The sequence below is a fragment of the Homo sapiens genome, chromosome 11 (genome assembly GCF_000001405.40).
Source record: "Homo sapiens chromosome 11, GRCh38.p14 Primary Assembly".
NCBI lineage: Eukaryota > Metazoa > Chordata > Mammalia > Primates > Hominidae > Homo > Homo sapiens.
Window position 1 is genome coordinate 61,839,717 of NC_000011.10, and position 16,322 is coordinate 61,856,038.

The window sequence follows — 16,322 nt, forward strand, 5'->3', positions numbered from 1 at the left end:
TCTTCCCCAAATTGAAATTCCACATCCATTAAGCACTCACTCCTCATTCTCCCACCTCTCAGCCCCTGGCAGGCACCATTCTACTTTCTGTCTCTGAATTTGGCCTCTCCAAGGACCTCCTGTATATGGAATCATACAATATTTGTCCTTTGGTGACTGGCCTGTTTCCCTTAGCATGATGTCTTCAAAGTTCACTCACATTGTAGCATGTGTCAGAATTTCCTCCCTTTTCAAGGCTGAGTAATATTCCATTGCATGGATAGACCACGTGTTGCTGATCCATTCATCCATCACGAGATCTTTGTGTTGTTTCTACCTTTTTCCTGATGTGAATAGAGCTATGAACACAGGGTGTATAAAATGCAAGCTTTTGAGTCAAAGCCTTTCTCTGTCACTCTTACCTAGCTGTGACAAATATACAGGCCCCAGGGCTGTGTGGGGCATGTGGTAACAGCAGCTATTGTAGGGACTCCTGGAGGGTCGAGGCTTGTGGCTTGGCCCCCTCTTGCCACAGCTTCTCTGGGTTGTGCATTGGCTGTTGAAATGGCAGCTCGAGACATATGTTCCCTCCAGAGTGGCTGGTGGCTGACTCCTTTCCCTGTGCTCTTGGTCAACAGTCAAAGATCACTGAGGACTTCCGGGCCCTGAGGAAGACGGCTGAGGACATGAACCTGTTCAAGACCAACCACGTGTTCTTCCTCCTCCTCCTGGCCCACATCATCGCCCTGGAGAGCATTGCATGGTTCACTGTCTTTTACTTTGGCAATGGCTGGATTCCTACCCTCATCACGGCCTTTGTCCTTGCTACCTCTCAGGTGAGGCGTGACACCCTCACTTCCCCTAGCTGACAGAGGCCTGGTGCCTGTTTGCTGAGGCTGTGACAGCACGTGTGACCCTCTCTCCCCAGGCCCAAGCTGGATGGCTGCAACATGATTATGGCCACCTGTCTGTCTACAGAAAACCCAAGTGGAACCACCTTGTCCACAAATTCGTCATTGGCCACTTAAAGGTAAGTGTCAGCAGCCCTGGGCATCTGTCCTGTTGGACAGCAGTTGAGACAGAGGGACCAGGATTCCTCTCTGCTCAGTGCTCTGAGGCTACAGGGTGACAAGGCAGGTGTGCCTATGCTGAGGGCCATGGTGACTCTCCATTCTGCTGACTTCCTGAGCCCTGTCTCTGGATCAGGTCCGAACCACAAAGCCATGGTGTACTACTCATTATGAAGACAGGCACACACCTTTCTTGTCTTTTGGCTCAGCGGATTGTATTTTTTGATGTTCCTTAGCTAAGGACTCATCTAACAAATCTGTTTTTGTTTGGGGACAGTAAAGTAGCAGTATTTTTTTTTTTTTTTGAGACAGAGTCCTGCTCTTGTCACCCAAGCTGGAAGCAATGGTGTGATCTTGGGTCACTGCAACCTCCACCTCCGGGTTCAAGCAATTCTCCTGCCTCAGCCTCCCGAGTAGCTGGGATTACAGGCACTCGCCACCATGCCTGACTAATTTTTGTATTTTTAGTAGAGATGGGGTTTTGCTATGTTGGTCAGGCCGGTATCAAACTTCTGACCTTGTGATCTACCTGCCTTGGCCTCCCAAAGTGCTGGGATTACAGGTGTGAGCCACCGCATCCGGCCTGTAGCATCTTTTTTGATGAGTTGGTATGCTTCCTTTCACTGGGGATGTGAGCTCTTTAATACGTTGTGCTGGGTGTGGTGGCATGCACCTGTAATCCCAGCCACCTGGGAGGCTGAGGCAGGAGAATTGCTTGAGCCCAGGAGTTCGAGACCAGCCTGGGCAACATAGTGAGACCCCCCCCCATCTCTCAAAAAAAAAAAAGAAAAAGAAACACATTGTGCTCCTCTCTTCCCCTCAGAAGCCAAGAGGTACAAAGCAGCATTTGAAACAGCAACTATCTTTAGTCTGTGTTTTTGGTGCCCCCATTCTCTCCTTCCTCATCTGGCATTTATGCTTTTATCTTTATTTTAGCCTTCCGTTATATATGAGTCTTTTATCTCAAGCCACTTCAAATACTCTTTGGAAATAAGCGGGGTACAAAAAGTAAAAGTCATCCTATAAGGCCTCAGATAGGGGACACCAAACTACGGAATGATCAGCTGGCCCAAAGGACAAAAGTCATTAGAAGTGCAGGAGTTAAGGAAGTTCCACTCTCACCTCCCCCTAGATAAGGAAGCAGACCACAGAGTCTCAGCATGTTTGTAGAAAGACAAGCTGGAATTGCCAACTGCCTTGTTCTGATCTGACAGGCGTTATCTCCTCAGTTTTGAAAATGAGTCTTTGCCAACTTGCTCTCTGAAATAGACTATCCCCATCCCAGCCTGACCCAACAGTACCTGCTTCCTGAGAAAAGCTGGGTCCTAAAGAATCCATCCCTCCACACCCTGGCAAGGGACGAGCTACATGTGGGGTGTAGCTTATCCCCTCTTCCACCCAGACCGCAACGGGGCCCTTGGCTTGCCGGCTGCAGATCTCACTGGTGGCCAACCACCCCTGAGCTGGTCACCAGTTTCGCAGCGAGCAGCTTGCCTGGCCCTGAGCCTGAAGCGGCCTGAGAACCTGGTCTCTGTCCAGAATCTCAGGGGCAAAGGGAGAGGGTGCACATAGTGGAGTGCTTTGTTTCATTTTATACTCTTCTCTGTTGGATCAAACCCTCCTCAGTATGGCAAAGTAACATTTAACTCCTGACCCATGTTAGCCCCCACACACTTAACAAAGATGGGCTGTGTCCTGCTTCCAGATTCTGGGCAGGGGCCGGGCAGGGGGGATTGTTCCTGTCCAATTGCCCTCAGTCTTTGAGGGGCCCCAGAGCACGGCTGTTGCGTCAGGCGGGAGACGGGGCCAGGACAGAGGACTGGTCTCCATGTAGAACGTGGATGACAGCAAACAGGGTCCTTGGGCTTGGGGATGTGGGCTCCACTCATGGCCCACCAGCCCCCACTGGCTGTGTCCTTGGTGCTGTGTCACAGAGACAGGCCAAGGACATGGACATGTGGCTCACTCAGGGGTGCCCCAGAGCACGGAGGTCAAGCTTGCCTGAAATTGGCTCTAGCACTCGGCAGGTGCACAGCCATGGGGACAAATCTTGTAGGTCTGTGTCTCTTCCCATCACTGGGAAAAAGGGGACTGGCTACAGGGAGGTCCTCAAGGGCCTCGCCAACTCAGATGTCTTAGCACAGGCTGGAAAGACCTGTGAGTAGGTTACCAGGTGCTGTGAGAGGCTGGGACCCCCTTCTTCCTGTTGGCTGCACTGCTAATGGGATTTAATGGGAGTTCTTCACATCCTGACCTGTTTGCCTTCAGCCCGTGTCATGCCCAGTGGACATTTCTTCCAAAGTGTGATCTTTTACAAAGACGATTCTGAGGTTAAAACTCTTTCGTAGTTCAGCACTGTACTTAGGATGAAATGCAAACTTCAGCCAGGCACAGTGGCTCACGCCTATAACCTCAGCGCTTTGGGAGGTCAAGGCAGGAGGATTGCTTGAAGCCAAGAGTTTGAGACCAGCCTGGGCCACATAGCAAGACCCTGTCTCTACTAAAAATAAAAGAATTAGCCGGGGATGGTGGTGCATGCTTGTAGTCCCAGCTACTGGGGAGGCTGAGGCCGGAGGATGGCTTGAGCCTGGGATTTGAAGGCTGCGGTGAGCTGTGATGGTGCCACTACATTCCAGCATGGGTGACAGAGTGAGACACTGTCTCTAAATAAATAAATGCAAGCTGAAAGGCCCAGTGCCATCTGGGCGCTGCATCTGGAAATGGACATCACCAGACTTTCTGCAGCCTCATCTCAGGCCACCAGGGCTGGGATTAGGGTGAAACAAGTAAGGCACTCGCTTAGGGTATAAAATCTAAGGGGACACCAGACAAATTCTAAGGGGACACCAGACAAATTCAGTTATCAAGATAAATGATGTTTTAATGCAATGTGGTTTTGTTTTGTTTTTTGAGATGGAGTTTCACTCTTGTCGCCCAGGCTGGAGTGCAATGGCGTGATCTCAACTCACTGAAACCTCCGTCTCCCGGGTTCAAGCGATTCTCCTGCCTCAGCCTCCCGAGTAGCTGGGATTACAGGTGTGCGCCACTATGCCCAGCTAATTTTTTTGTATTTTTAGTAGAGATGGGGTTTCTCCATGTTGTCCAGGCTGGTCTTGAACTCCTGACCTAAGGTGATCCACCTGCCTTGGCCTCCCAAAGTGCTGAGATTACAGGCATGAGCCACCACGCCCGGCCTGCAATATGTTTTTAAAAAAATCAAAATTAATGCAAAAAAATCCACAATGAACAAAATATCAAAATTTTAAATAAAGATCAGGATGAACTGAGGGAAATGGAAAAACATGCAACCCTCTAAACATGTTCGTGTGTCATTTTTTAATGGTTGATTTTTTTTCCAGAGGATTAAAGTAGTTAAAAAAATATTTAACAATGAAGAAGTTGATGTATTAAAAGTCATAACATTCTAAGTGTAAATGCTTTATTTATACCAAAACAGAACTTATTATACTTTTGCTTCAGTTGAATGTAATTAGAAATTAGTTAAGACCGGGCGAGGTGGCTTGGCCGGGTGTGGTGGCTCATGCCTGTAATCCCAGCACTTTGGGAGGGTGACGCAGGTAGATCACTTAAGGTCAGGAGTTCAAGACCAGCCTGGCCAACATGGTGAAACCCTGTCTCTACTAAAAAAACAAAAATTAGCCAGGCGAGGGTGCTCGGGAGGCTAAGACAGGAGAATCACTTGAACCAGGGAGGTGGAGGTTGCAGTGAGCCGAGATCGTGCCACAGCCCTCCAGCCTGGGTGACAGAGTGAGGCTCCATCTCAAAAATAAAAAATAAACATAAAAATTATTTAAGCTAATCGCTTGGTTGACAGAAACCATCAAACTCAGCAATTCTTTCCATTGAAAATGAAATGAGGCCAGGCGCGGTGGCTCACGCCTGTAATCCCAGCACTTTGGGAGGTTGAGGAGGGCAGATCACAAGGTCAGAAGATCGAGACCATCCTGGCTAACACGGTGAAACCCCATCTCCACTAAAAATACAAAAAATTAGCCGGGCGTGGTGGCACACGCCTGCAGTCCCAGCTGCTCGGGAGGCTGAGACAGGAGAATCACTTGAACCCGGGAGGTAGAGGTTGCAGTGAGCCGAGACTGCATCACTGCCCTCCAGCCTGGGCGACAGAGGAAGACTCCGTCTCAAAAAAAAAAAAGAAAAAAGAAAAAAGAAAGAAAATGAAATGAGGCAAAAAGTAGGCTTTGAAAATGTTATCGATGAGTTTGTTTCCATTAAAGCCAGAAGTGCACTTTTTTTTTTTTTTTTTTTTTTTTTTTTTTTGCCTCAGGCTCTGATATGGCGCCACCCAGCACTGCTGGTCACAGTTATACCGAGGAGCTTTCCTCTGGCTTCTGGAGCACTCTACACTCCCCCTTCCTCTCCCAGGGCCTCCCGTAGGCTCTTGCCTCTGTCAGGAAAGCACCCCTCACTCTGCCTGGCCAACTTCTCCAGCTGCGTGGACACTTAGCTTTCCTGGCCCCAGCTCAGTTTGGGTTTGGTGTGATGAGGCCAGACCCTCCCTCGCAGCTCCGTGAGGACAAGGGCTTTGTCTCTTGGTTCACCTCCCAGGCAGAGCACGGCAGCTGGCTTAGGGTAGGCAACATCTGCACCACATTCTGGGAACACGGAGCTGGCCATTGTTCCTGGGCAAGGCGGGCTTCCCGGTGCCCGGAAGGAGGGGCTCTTGAAGGACAAGCAGGGCTTCACCTGGCAAAGAAGAATGGAAGAGAGGCCCGGTGCGGTGGGTTATGCCTGTAATCCCAGCACTTTGGGAGGCGGAGGTGGGCGGATCACCTGGGTTCAGGAGTTTGAGACCAGCCTGGCCAACATGGTGAAACCCCATCTCTACTGAAAATATAAAAATTAGCCGGGCATGGTGGCGGGCGCCTATAATCTCAGCTACTCGGAAGGCTGAGGTAGGAGAACCTGGGAGGCGGAGGTTGCAGTGAGCTGAGATTGCACCACTGCACTCCAGCCTGGGCGACAAGAGCAAAACTCTGTCTCAAAAAAAAAAAAAAAAAAAATGGAAGAGAATCACAGCAGAGGAAGTAGCATGAACAAAAAATGCTTTCATTACATCTCATCCCGAGTCCAGGGAGAACCGGGACTGCCCACCTCACTGCCTCCTTGTTGTCAGCCCGTCTTGCTTTCCTCCATCTGTTTGTTCAATAAACATCTCTGGGTTGGTATCCTCCAAACATCACGCTTACTTGTTTCATGCCTTGCTCCTCAGTTTCTTTGTGCCAGAGATTTTTCCATTTGATTCTTCCCAGGAATTTTGTTCCTTTTGACAACAAACGCAAATGTGTCATTTGATTCCTCGAGCCTCTAAGCTTTCTTTCTTTCTTTTCTTTTTTTTTTTTTTTTTTGAGACAGACTCTTGCTCTGTTGCTCAGGCTAAAGTGAAGTTGGTATGATCTTGGCCTCCTGGGTTCACAGGATTCTCCTGCCTCAGACTCCTGAGTAGTTGGGATTACAGGTGCCCGCCACCACGCCCAGATAATTTTTGTAGTTTTAGTAGAGACGGGGTTTCTCCGTGTTGGCCAGGCTGGCCTTGAACGCCTGACCTCAAGTGATCCACACGCTTCAGCCTCCCAAAGTGAAGCCTCTGAGCTTTCACTCTCTGACTTTTTTTTTTTTTTTCTCTCTCTCTCTCTCTCTCATGGGTTTTGAGGCCTGCCAGTTTCCAGGGCCCTGAGGTTACTGCAAAGGCCACAGCTGTCCGTTGCTGTTCCCACCCATGGCTATTAGTGTCCATAGACTGTGTGTGCCAAAAGCATCTCCCAAGTAAAATGTTTGTTTAGCAAATAGGCATTTTTTGCAAACCCTTAGCCAAAGCATTGATCCGGCAACAGTTCACCAGGATAGTCGTGATGCCAAAGGGTCAGGAAAGTGTGTTTTCTTTCATCTGTCGCTGGGCAACTGTCGAGGGCCATAACTCTGAGCTGAGGAGACGGACACCTGTGGCCTCAAAAGAAATATCCATGTTATGTGTCTTGTCTCATGGGATCCTATTTGAGTGTTAGAAACAGGAAAGTTCTTCTTGTTCATGTTAGCAGTTGTTTGTTGAGCCCTCCCTCCAGCCTTCCTGGTGTGACACGAATCTCAGGACCCACCCTCAGCATAGCAGCACAACTGCGCTCTCCAAATCGTTTATTGAGATACAGTTCTCACTTTTTTTTTTTTTTAAACAGAGTCTTGCTCTGTCTCCCAGGCTGGAGTGCAGTGGTGTGATCTCTGCCTCCCGGGTTCAAGTGATTTTCCTGCCTCAGCCTCCCGAGTAGCTGGGATTACAGGCGCCCACAACCACGCCCGGCTAATTTTTGTATTTTTAGTAGAGGCGGGGTTTCACCATGTTGCCCAGGCTGGTCTCAAACTCCTGACCTCAAGTGATCCACCCGCTTCTGTCTCCCAAAGTGCTGGAATTACAGGTGTGAGCCACCACGCCCAGCCAGTTTTCCCATTTAAAGTAGACAAATCAATGACTTTTGGTATATTCACAGATTTATGCAACCATCATCATAGTCGATTTTAGAGCATCTTCATGATGCTCAAAAGAAACCCCACGTTTCTTAGCCATCACATCCCAACCCCCTCACTCCCTCCCCTACCCCAATCCTAGCCCTACACAACTGCTCAGCTTTCTGTCTCTATAGATTTCCCTATTCTGGGCGTTTCATGTCGGTGGAATCATGTGATATGTGGTCTTTTGTGGCTCCTTCCTTCCCTTAGCATGTTCTCCAGGCTCATCCGTGTTGTAGCAAGGGTCAGTGATTCGTTCTGTTTTACGGCACAGCCAAATGATATTCCACTGTGTGGATAATCTGCATTTCATTCACCCACTCATCTGTTGATGAACATTTGTGTTGCTTTTGCTCTTCTGGTTCTTTTGAAGAATGCTGCTGTGAACACTGCTCTATGAGTTGGTGTGTGGACATGTTTTCATTTCTCTTGGATATACGCTCAGGAGGGAGATTTCTGGGCCACATAGTAGGGACCACTTCTCACTGTCCCTGAAACCTCGGCTTTACCTTGCACAGCTCTGGTTCCACACCTGGTGACGGAGAGGCAGAGACTGGCTGCCACACCTGCTGGAGCGCTCACCGTGTGGTCCCTCAGCAGCACGCCTCATCTGCCACCATCGTCTTATGATCAGGGAAACTGAAGCCTAGAGAGATAAAGTGACTTCACTCCATCTGGGGCTGGCGCATGCTCTGAGCTCAGTCATGGCAGGGCTGGATTCTGGCCTTGTGGGGGCCTGAAGTGCTATCCCCGAGGGTTGAAGGTTCCGGGAACTGCTCCTAAGAAGGGCCTGTTACAAGCGAGCTCGGTTCCCTGGTGGCTTGCATGGCTCATCCCCACCCCTCTCTCCCCACAGGGTGCCTCTGCCAACTGGTGGAATCATCGCCACTTCCAGCACCACGCCAAGCCTAACATCTTCCACAAGGATCCCGATGTGAACATGCTGCACGTGTTTGTTCTGGGCGAATGGCAGCCCATCGAGGTACGACTAAGAGGATGGTGTTGACCTAGGAAGTGTTTGTCCTGGGCGAATGGCAGACCATCGAGGTACAACTAAGGAGATGGTGTTGACCTAGGAAGTGTTTGGCCTGGGCGAATGGCAGCCATCGAGGTACGACTAAGGGGTTGGTGTTGACCTAGGAAGTGTTTGGCCTGAGCAGGGAGCAGGGAAGGAAGCCTAGAGAGCTGACATTCAGCCAGGCAGGTCCACATCTCCTGCTACACAGATACCTCTCCTAGGTACCCTGAATTGTTCTGGCTGGAATGTATGTGGAATGGCCTCACCTGTAAATACAGACACAGCTCCTCATTAGAATGGTAGATGTCTCCCTCCTACCCTTAGGCCAGGAAGGGCATTTTCTGGCTTGTTTTTTCCCAGGGTAGAGGGAAATCTTGTTCCAGTTCAGCAGGAAGGCAAGATTTCAGGGGCTCAAGCTTGGTCGCCAACCGACTAGCTCATGTTGAGAAAACCTTATTTGGAGAATCATCATCCTGTACACTGGGAGGAGCCTCAACGTGGCTTGGTCCAATCTGCTTCACCAGTGGATAAGAAATTGAAGGTCAGCGAGAGGATGGAACACGTTCAGGGTCACATAATTTATTTAGTTTTTTTTCTGAGACGGAGTCTTGCTCTGTTGCCCAGAGCTGGAGTGCAGTGGCACAATCTTGGCTCACTGCAACCTCCGCCTCCTGGGTTCAAGCAATTCTCCTGCCTCCGCCTCCCACGTAGCTGGGATTACAGGCATGTGCCACCATGCCAACTAATTTTTGTATTTTTAGTAGAGACAGGGTTTCACCATGGCCAGGCTGGTCTCAAACTCCTGACCTCATGATCTGCCTGCCTCGGCTTCCCAAAGTGCTGGTATTACAGGCATGAGCCAACGTGCCCAGCCGAGAGAGTCACGTAATTTAGTGGCCAGTCTAGGGTGAGGCCCCAGACCTTTGGACTGCTAGGCCATTGCCTTCCATTTACTATACCATTTTATTTTCATATTAGTTCATTTTATTACTACAAATATAGAACACACTTGGTATAAACTTCTAAACAGTACAGAAATATCCAGAATTAAAACACGAGTCTCAGCCTGGGCAATATAGCAAGACCCTGTCTCTAAAAAAATACATATTTTTTTAGTTAGCCAGGCATGGTAGCACGTGCCTAGTCTCAGTTATTGGGGAGGCTGAGGTGGGTGGATCCCTTGAGCTGAGCCCAGGAGGTTGAGGCTACAGTGAGCTATGATCACACCACTGCACTCCAGCCTGGGTAACAGAGCAAAGCTATGTCTCAAAAAAGAAAAAAAAAGTGAGTCTCTCAAACCTCCCCTTTGCCCCAAATTTTATGCCCTTGAGGGTAACCACTGTTAACAAGATGCTATACAGTCTTCTAGATATTTTTATATGTGTATAAACATGCATATATCTGTTTCTTTACAAACAAAAATTTTAGGCCAGCTGTGGTGGCTCACACCTGTAATCCCAGCGCTTTGGGAGGCTGAAGTGGGAGAAGTGCTTGAGCCCAGGAGTTCAAGACCAGCCTGGGCTACATAGTGAGACCCCATCTCTGCGAAAAATACAAAAGATTAGCCAGGTGTAGTGGTGTGCGTCTGTGGTCCCAGGTGCAGGGGAGGCTGAGGTGGGGGAATCACTTGAGCCTGGGAGCCTCAAGGCTGCAATGAGCTATGATTGCACCACTGCACTCCAGCGGGGACAGAAGAGGGAGACTCTGTCTCAAAAATAAAAAAATAAAAAACAAAAAAATTCTACCTTGTATCCTGCAACTTGCCACCTCTGCGAATGTGGATGCCCTTCCCCCCCAGTTCATGTAGACAGGTCTCGTCTCCCTCTAGCCATATGGTATTCTGTTGTACTTCTGAACCATAACAGGACCTACATTATTTTATATGGTAGACAAATTGAGTGTCAGTAGTTCATAATTTCTTTCTTTTCTTTTCTTTTCTTTTTTTTTTGAGACAGAGTCTTACTCTCTTGCCCAGTCTAGAGTGCAGTGGCACGATCTTGGCTCACTGCAACCTCCACCTCCCAGGTTCAAGTGATTCTCCTGCCTCAGCCTCCCGAGTAGATGGGATTACAGGTGCACACCACCACGCCTGGCTAATTTTCTCATTTTTAGTAGAGACGGGGTTTCACCATGTTGGCCAGGCTGGTCTTGAACTCCTGACTTCGTGATCCGCCCACCTCGCCCTCCCAAAGTGCTGGGATTACGGGTGTAAGCCACCGCGCCTGGCCCATAATTTCTTTTGAATAAAAGCCCCACCAATGCGTTCCACAAAAAAATGTTCTTATTTAATACATTCTTTTTTTTTATGTAGAGCCTCTATGTCGGGACCTAATTTAGAAGAAAAAAATAAATATATGCGCTGCTTTTTGGAAATACATTAATGATTAAAATGAAAGTTTAGAAGATCCTTGTTGCTTTTATGCAGATCTTAGGAGCCACAAAGCCATGCATAGAGTAGGGTTCAATCAGCATCTGCCAAGTGAGGCCAATTTTCCCTCACTAAGGAGTGGCACCGTGAGTGAAGTAGTATTCCCGACAGCCTTGGCGCCTAAGGCTTGGAACAAGGCGAGGAGACAGCCTGGCTCCCCAGTTCTGGTTTGTACACCCTCTTCTTATTTCATTTCCACCCGTGAGACTATCTGAGCAGGAACGTGGATTTTTCTGTAACATGGCCAATTCGCAGGAAATCAGCCACAGTTCTGTACTTTGGAAGCCTCTCTAAGCTGCCAGGGATTCCATTTTCTGCCAAAGTACAGGCTATTGTTATTCTTCTAGGAAACAGTTTGCCAGCTTTAATTAGAGGTGTCTAGAAAACAGAACTGATGAACTTGAGGCCCTCTGATAAGTGGGGACAAAGGCTTCATTTTCTCGGCGAGGCTTTGTAATGTAGAGCCGTTGGCTGTCCTGACAGATGTTCTCTGTGTCTCCAACAAAGAAAGTCTAGTCCCACCAGCTGCACTGGCAAGAAGGCGTCTTTCTTGTGCGTGGTGGCCAGAGAAGCCTCTCCTTTCCCGACATCTTCTCACCCCCGACACTTCTGGAACGCTGGCTTTGGGGCAGGAGATAGGGGTGGGAGGCTGTGAGGATCTGGTTGTTCAGTTACCAGCGGCGTTTGGAAGTCCCCAGCCAGTGCCGCGGTGTTCTGTGGAAATCCCCGCTCTCACACTCATGGGGAAAGGATTGGTGCTTCCTGGGTTCCTGGTGTTTTGACCTGTGCTCTGGCTCTCGCAGGACCCGGCCGCCCTGGAAGGAACCCTGGTCTCTTGACTGAAGTGACAGTGGGTCTGATGGGACTTGTCACATGCCAGTCCCACACACCACAGCAGGGCCAGGTGGGGCGGCCAGGTCCCAGGGCCTCAAGCCACCATCCCAGTCTCCAGAGCAAGGATGCCGGCCAGGGCTTCTATCTCTGGGGACAGATAAGCAAAGCAGCCCTGCCAAGCGGCTCCCAGCACGTGGAACTGTGAATAGCGCGGGCTCCGCAGTAAAGCCCTTTTCCTCGTTTTCTGCATTTTGGTCTTATTGATGCTGTCCAGGAGGATTCTTTTTGTCATATGTAGCAAAGTATATTCACTTTACCCAGAGATTCATTTCTTGTGTGCTTAGAAAGTTCTTCATACATATTATTTTCAGTTCTTTAAGGTTTTGTGTTTCAATCTTTAACTTCTGCCAAATGGGATATGGGTAGGATGATGTTCGGCCTTCACTTTTCTCCAGAGTCGGCCAGTTTTCCCGGCACCCCCATGAGGTGGCATTGCTTCTTCATATGAGGCAGTGAGTGCTCCTGAGCCCGGGCTTGGCCTGGGCTGGGCTGTCTGTCCTCTCCCAGGCCACCGTCTGGATGACTTGGGGGCCACACTCACACTCATTCATCCTTGGCACTTAACTCATTGGAAGCTCGTAGTGGGGTGCCTTTCCCCTTCTCTTTCTCTCTCTTTTTGTTTTTGTTTTTGTTTTTGAGACAAGGTCATGCTCTGTCACCTTGGCTAGAGCGTAGTGGCGCAATCTCGGTTCACTGCAGCCTCAACCTCCTGGGCTCAAGCCATCGTTCTGCCTCAGCCTCCCGAGTAGCTGGGACTACAGGCACCCGCCACCATGCCCGGCTAATTCTTGTATTTTTAGTAGAGATGGGGTTTCACCATGTTGGCCAGGCTGGTCTCGAACTCCTGACCTCAAGTGATCCGCCTACCTCAGCTTCCCAAAGTGCTGGGATTACAGGCATGAGCCACTGTGCCCGGCCAAGGTCTGTACTTCTTTATATGTCTCATGGATGTTTCTTTTAAAACGCAATCCTTATATGTTTTATATTTTGTCATTATGATTGGAGGTTCTCCAGTACTCGGGAAAGCAGTGGATATTGGGGTAGTTATCTTAATTTTCTTTTTTTTCTAAATTTTTGTTTGCATGGCCTTCCAATGAATGGGATAGTTATCTTTTGTCCCGCTAGTGTCCACTTACGTCTCTTCGTAATTCTAGTTGTGTTTCGGTTGATTCTTTTGAGTTTCCTGGGTAGATGATCATATCCTAGAAAATAATGAAAACGTAGTCTCTCGGCCCAGCGTGGTGGCTCACATCTGTAATCCCAGCACTTTGGGAGGCCGAGGCTGGCGGATCACGAGGTCAGGAGATCGAGACCATCTTGGCTAACACAATGAAACCACCGTCTCTACTAAAAATACAAAAAATTAGCTGGGCATGGTGGCACACGCCTGTAGTCTCGGCTACTCTGGAGGCTGAGGCAAGAGAATCGCTTGAACCTGGGAGGCGGAGGTTGCAGTGAGCTGAGATAGCACCACTGCACTCCAGCCTGGGCGACAGAGTGAGACTCCGTCTCAAAACAACAACAACAACAACAACAACAAAACAAAACAAAACAAACAGAAAAAAAGTGTAGTCACTCTTTCTTTCTTCTCTTTCTTTCTTTCTCTCTCTCTTTCTTTCTCTCCCTCCCTCCCTTCCCTCCCTCCCTCCCTTCCTTCCTTCCTTCCTTCCTTCCTTCCTTCCTTCCTTCCTTTCCTTCTTTCTTTCTAATCTGGATGTTGAAGTAGTCTCTTTCTTTCTAATAGCTCCACTCTGTTTTCTGCTTTGGGTTTTATTGCATTGACGGGAAATTTCAGAGCTGAGTTTAATAGCGGTGATATTGGCAGCAGCCTTGTTTTGTTCTTCTTTTGCCATATCCCCGTTTTCTGAGGGGGCTGGTGAGACCATTATCCCGGTAGCAGTGTAAAGGGGCCTCAGAAGCCGTGCGGTGCCTGAGATCCTCCTCCTCCTCCCATCCGGGAAACCACCTCTGCTGCTCTGACTGTCTGAAGCTAACCTCCTGGGCTTCCTGCTTGAGGCAGACCTTCATGAACAGGCTTAAGCCACCCATCCCGCCTTGGGACACACATGCCGCCCTCTCGGGGACCTTGGACTGGGACCTTGCCATTCTGCTCCTGCTGGGGAGGTCGTGCCGCCTGTTTCTCTCTGTGTGTGAGTTTGCAGGTTCCCAGAGGCAGAGACTGGGCTTTGCGACAGCTCCCCTCCCCCAACCCTCGATGGACAAGGAGGGCCCTTGTCATTCCTCAGACATTTTGTTCCAAAGCTGAAAGGTCCCCTCCACATGGCCCGGCATCCCCCAGGCCCTCATCCAAGCCTGGCCTTGAGGTGCATGGAGAGGCCGAGGACAGGAGAGTCAGCCCCGCCGCCAGGGCTGGCTGCACTCCCTCCCTTGCCCCTGGCCTGCGTCTCTGCCTGTCAACCGCAGCCTGGGAAGGCACTGTTGCTGATCAGGGGGAGGTCCATGTGTGCCACCCACACCCTTGGCCGCAGCCCAGCCAGGTGAAAGTCATGTGTCTTCCTTGCCTCTTGGGCTTTCTCTGTGTGTGTGACGGGGACTCCTCTGGAGGAGGAGATGTGTGGGGTCCTCCACTCCCCACACTTGGGGCTCTGAGCCCCCAGTTGGGAAGAAGCCTGACTCTTGTTGAGTGAGTCTGTGGACCGGGCACTGTGATGGGCAGTGTGCGTGCACAACGTCACTTAATCCTTGCTTAACCCGTGAGGCGGGAGCTGTCATCGACCCATTTCATGGATGGAACAGCTAAGGCCAAGAGACATGAAGTGACTTGTTCAAGGTAACAGCAAGGAAAAGGCAACACCACTGTCCGAACCCAAACCATCTGGCTGCAAACCACAGCTTCGGAGTCCTGGGGGCCCTTGTGAAATATGTTTGTTGGGTAGCCCCAGCTTTCTGATCAATTAAACAGCCAGGCACTCACCCCCCTAGCTTGCTACATTCTAAAATACCTCTCCCTCCCTTCCCTGGTCCCATGACTTAAACGGCAAAGCTCTGGCAAAGAACTGAGCGTGGGAAAGATGAGAGCAGAGAGTTAGCCACAGGGCAGGGCTTCGTATCCCAAACCCACAGTTGTACTTTCTGGTTTGGGAGGGGAGTATTGGCCATCCCCCAGCAGAGCCGCTGCAGCTGAGGCCATCGAGATGGGCACAGATGTGTAGTGGTATGTCACCATACGCATGTACATACACGTGCGTGACTGTGATGAGCATTTTGCTCACCGTCCCACAGAGGCCCACTCTGAGGCCTGCTGCTGCCTGGCAAGCAGGACCCCCTGGCTCCCGAGGGTCATTCTGGGGCATTGAAGGGACGCACACTAAAGCCAGCAGTGCTTACCAGCAGAGGCAGCCCCTGTAACCTGTGTTGTCCACCCACAGGCCACCATCACCCATGAGAACAGGGTGCCTACTGTGCACATGCAGCTCCAAACAGACTCCCCAGGTGCCTCCCAGGCCCCCACAACAGCGTGGCCAGCCCTCAGTCCCTCCATAGGATGCCCTGGCCCCTGCTGACCTGCCTGGGTTGCCCTCTGTGCTCACTTCCGAGTACAGCCGGCCCAGCCCGAGAGGGATGGGATGCTCTGTGGGACAGAGATGCGGTGGGGAGGAGCTCTTGAGCAGAGCTGGAGACACTGCATGCCAAGGCTGGGGCTATGAGCCTGCTCCCTGGCCTCTGGGAGAAGCTTAGAGCAGGACTCAGGGGCCTGTTCTGTGGGCCACTGCAGGCCCCGAGACTGGCCACCTCGAGAGCAACGTCTGCAGTGCTGGCTCCTCCAGCAACTCCGTCCACTGGAGACTCATGAAAGGCTCCTGTGAGGCCTCCCTGGCTCGGACCTCTCCATGGCCGGCCTCAGCCCTGGCCTTAATAATAGTCTTCCTGCAAGTGGCCGTCCTTTCTGGGAATGAGTGAGATCCTTGCCAAGGCTCAGGAGGCCACACAGAACAAAGGGACTGTTTCTGGGGGTTCTTCAGCTGGTTGTGCCGTGACCATGGCCATTGGCGCCAAGATGCAAGCCTTGGGGACAGGGTGGACCTGGTTCCCACCCACAGCCTCTTCCCTCAGGAATCCATGCTCTCCCTGTGATTTGGACAATCATTTTACTCACCTGGATGAGAGGGGCACTGGCCTAGGCATCATCCAAGGTCCCTTCCCTCTGTAACTCACTTTGACCTCCTGACTGCAATAAGTATGACTGGACACTATAGGAGGAGGCATCTCTGGCCTTCGGATCCAGGGGTATAGGGAGGGTGACGGGCAGTGTCCTGGGGTCAGCACTTGGCATTATGCCCATGTTCTCATTGGCTCCTCTTACCAACCACTGATTCAAATGCCAGACAAGGCTCAGCAAGGCTAAGCGACTCACATAGTCTCAGCACTGGTGAGA

At 50.4% G+C, this 16,322-nt stretch overlaps 1 protein-coding gene and 1 long non-coding RNA gene across 5 annotated transcripts in view, besides 3 other annotated features; both read left to right on the forward strand.

Annotated features, from left to right (window-relative positions):
• FADS2 (fatty acid desaturase 2) overlaps window positions 1-16,322 on the forward strand; it is a 51,152-nt gene that overhangs the window by 23,514 nt on the left and 11,316 nt on the right. For all 4 annotated transcript variants that reach the window (XM_047427889.1, NM_001281501.1, NM_001281502.1 and 1 more), the window contains 3 exons: window positions 618-815; window positions 908-1,009; window positions 8,443-8,568. In XM_047427889.1, the coding sequence (XP_047283845.1) occupies window positions 618-815; window positions 908-1,009; window positions 8,443-8,568 (426 nt within the window). The remainder of the gene's footprint in view (window positions 1-617; window positions 816-907; window positions 1,010-8,442; window positions 8,569-16,322) is intronic.
• Window positions 2,068-2,352: a transcriptional cis regulatory region, noted in NCBI's record as "TAD5.SE2.HS2 sgRNA1-sgRNA3 range targeted for Mosaic-seq CRISPR perturbation". NCBI's record gives its function as "positively regulates FADS1 gene expression in K562 erythroleukemia cells {active_cell/tissue: K562}" and the evidence as "EXISTENCE:mutant phenotype evidence [ECO:0000015][PMID:28416141]".
• Window positions 7,860-8,360: an enhancer, noted in NCBI's record as "H3K27ac hESC enhancer chr11:61615048-61615548 (GRCh37/hg19 assembly coordinates)". NCBI's record gives its function as "activates a minimal SCP1, AML or CMV promoter by ChIP-STARR-seq in primed H9 embryonic stem cells {active_cell/tissue: H9 hESC(primed)}" and the evidence as "EXISTENCE:reporter gene assay evidence [ECO:0000049][PMID:30033119]".
• Window positions 8,361-8,861: an enhancer, noted in NCBI's record as "H3K27ac hESC enhancer chr11:61615549-61616049 (GRCh37/hg19 assembly coordinates)". NCBI's record gives its function as "activates a minimal SCP1, AML or CMV promoter by ChIP-STARR-seq in primed H9 embryonic stem cells {active_cell/tissue: H9 hESC(primed)}" and the evidence as "EXISTENCE:reporter gene assay evidence [ECO:0000049][PMID:30033119]".
• LOC124902679 (uncharacterized) lies at window positions 8,575-10,343 on the forward strand. The gene is made up of 2 exons (XR_007062695.1): window positions 8,575-9,145; window positions 10,033-10,343. It is a non-coding gene; the product is annotated as an uncharacterized LOC124902679 (long non-coding RNA).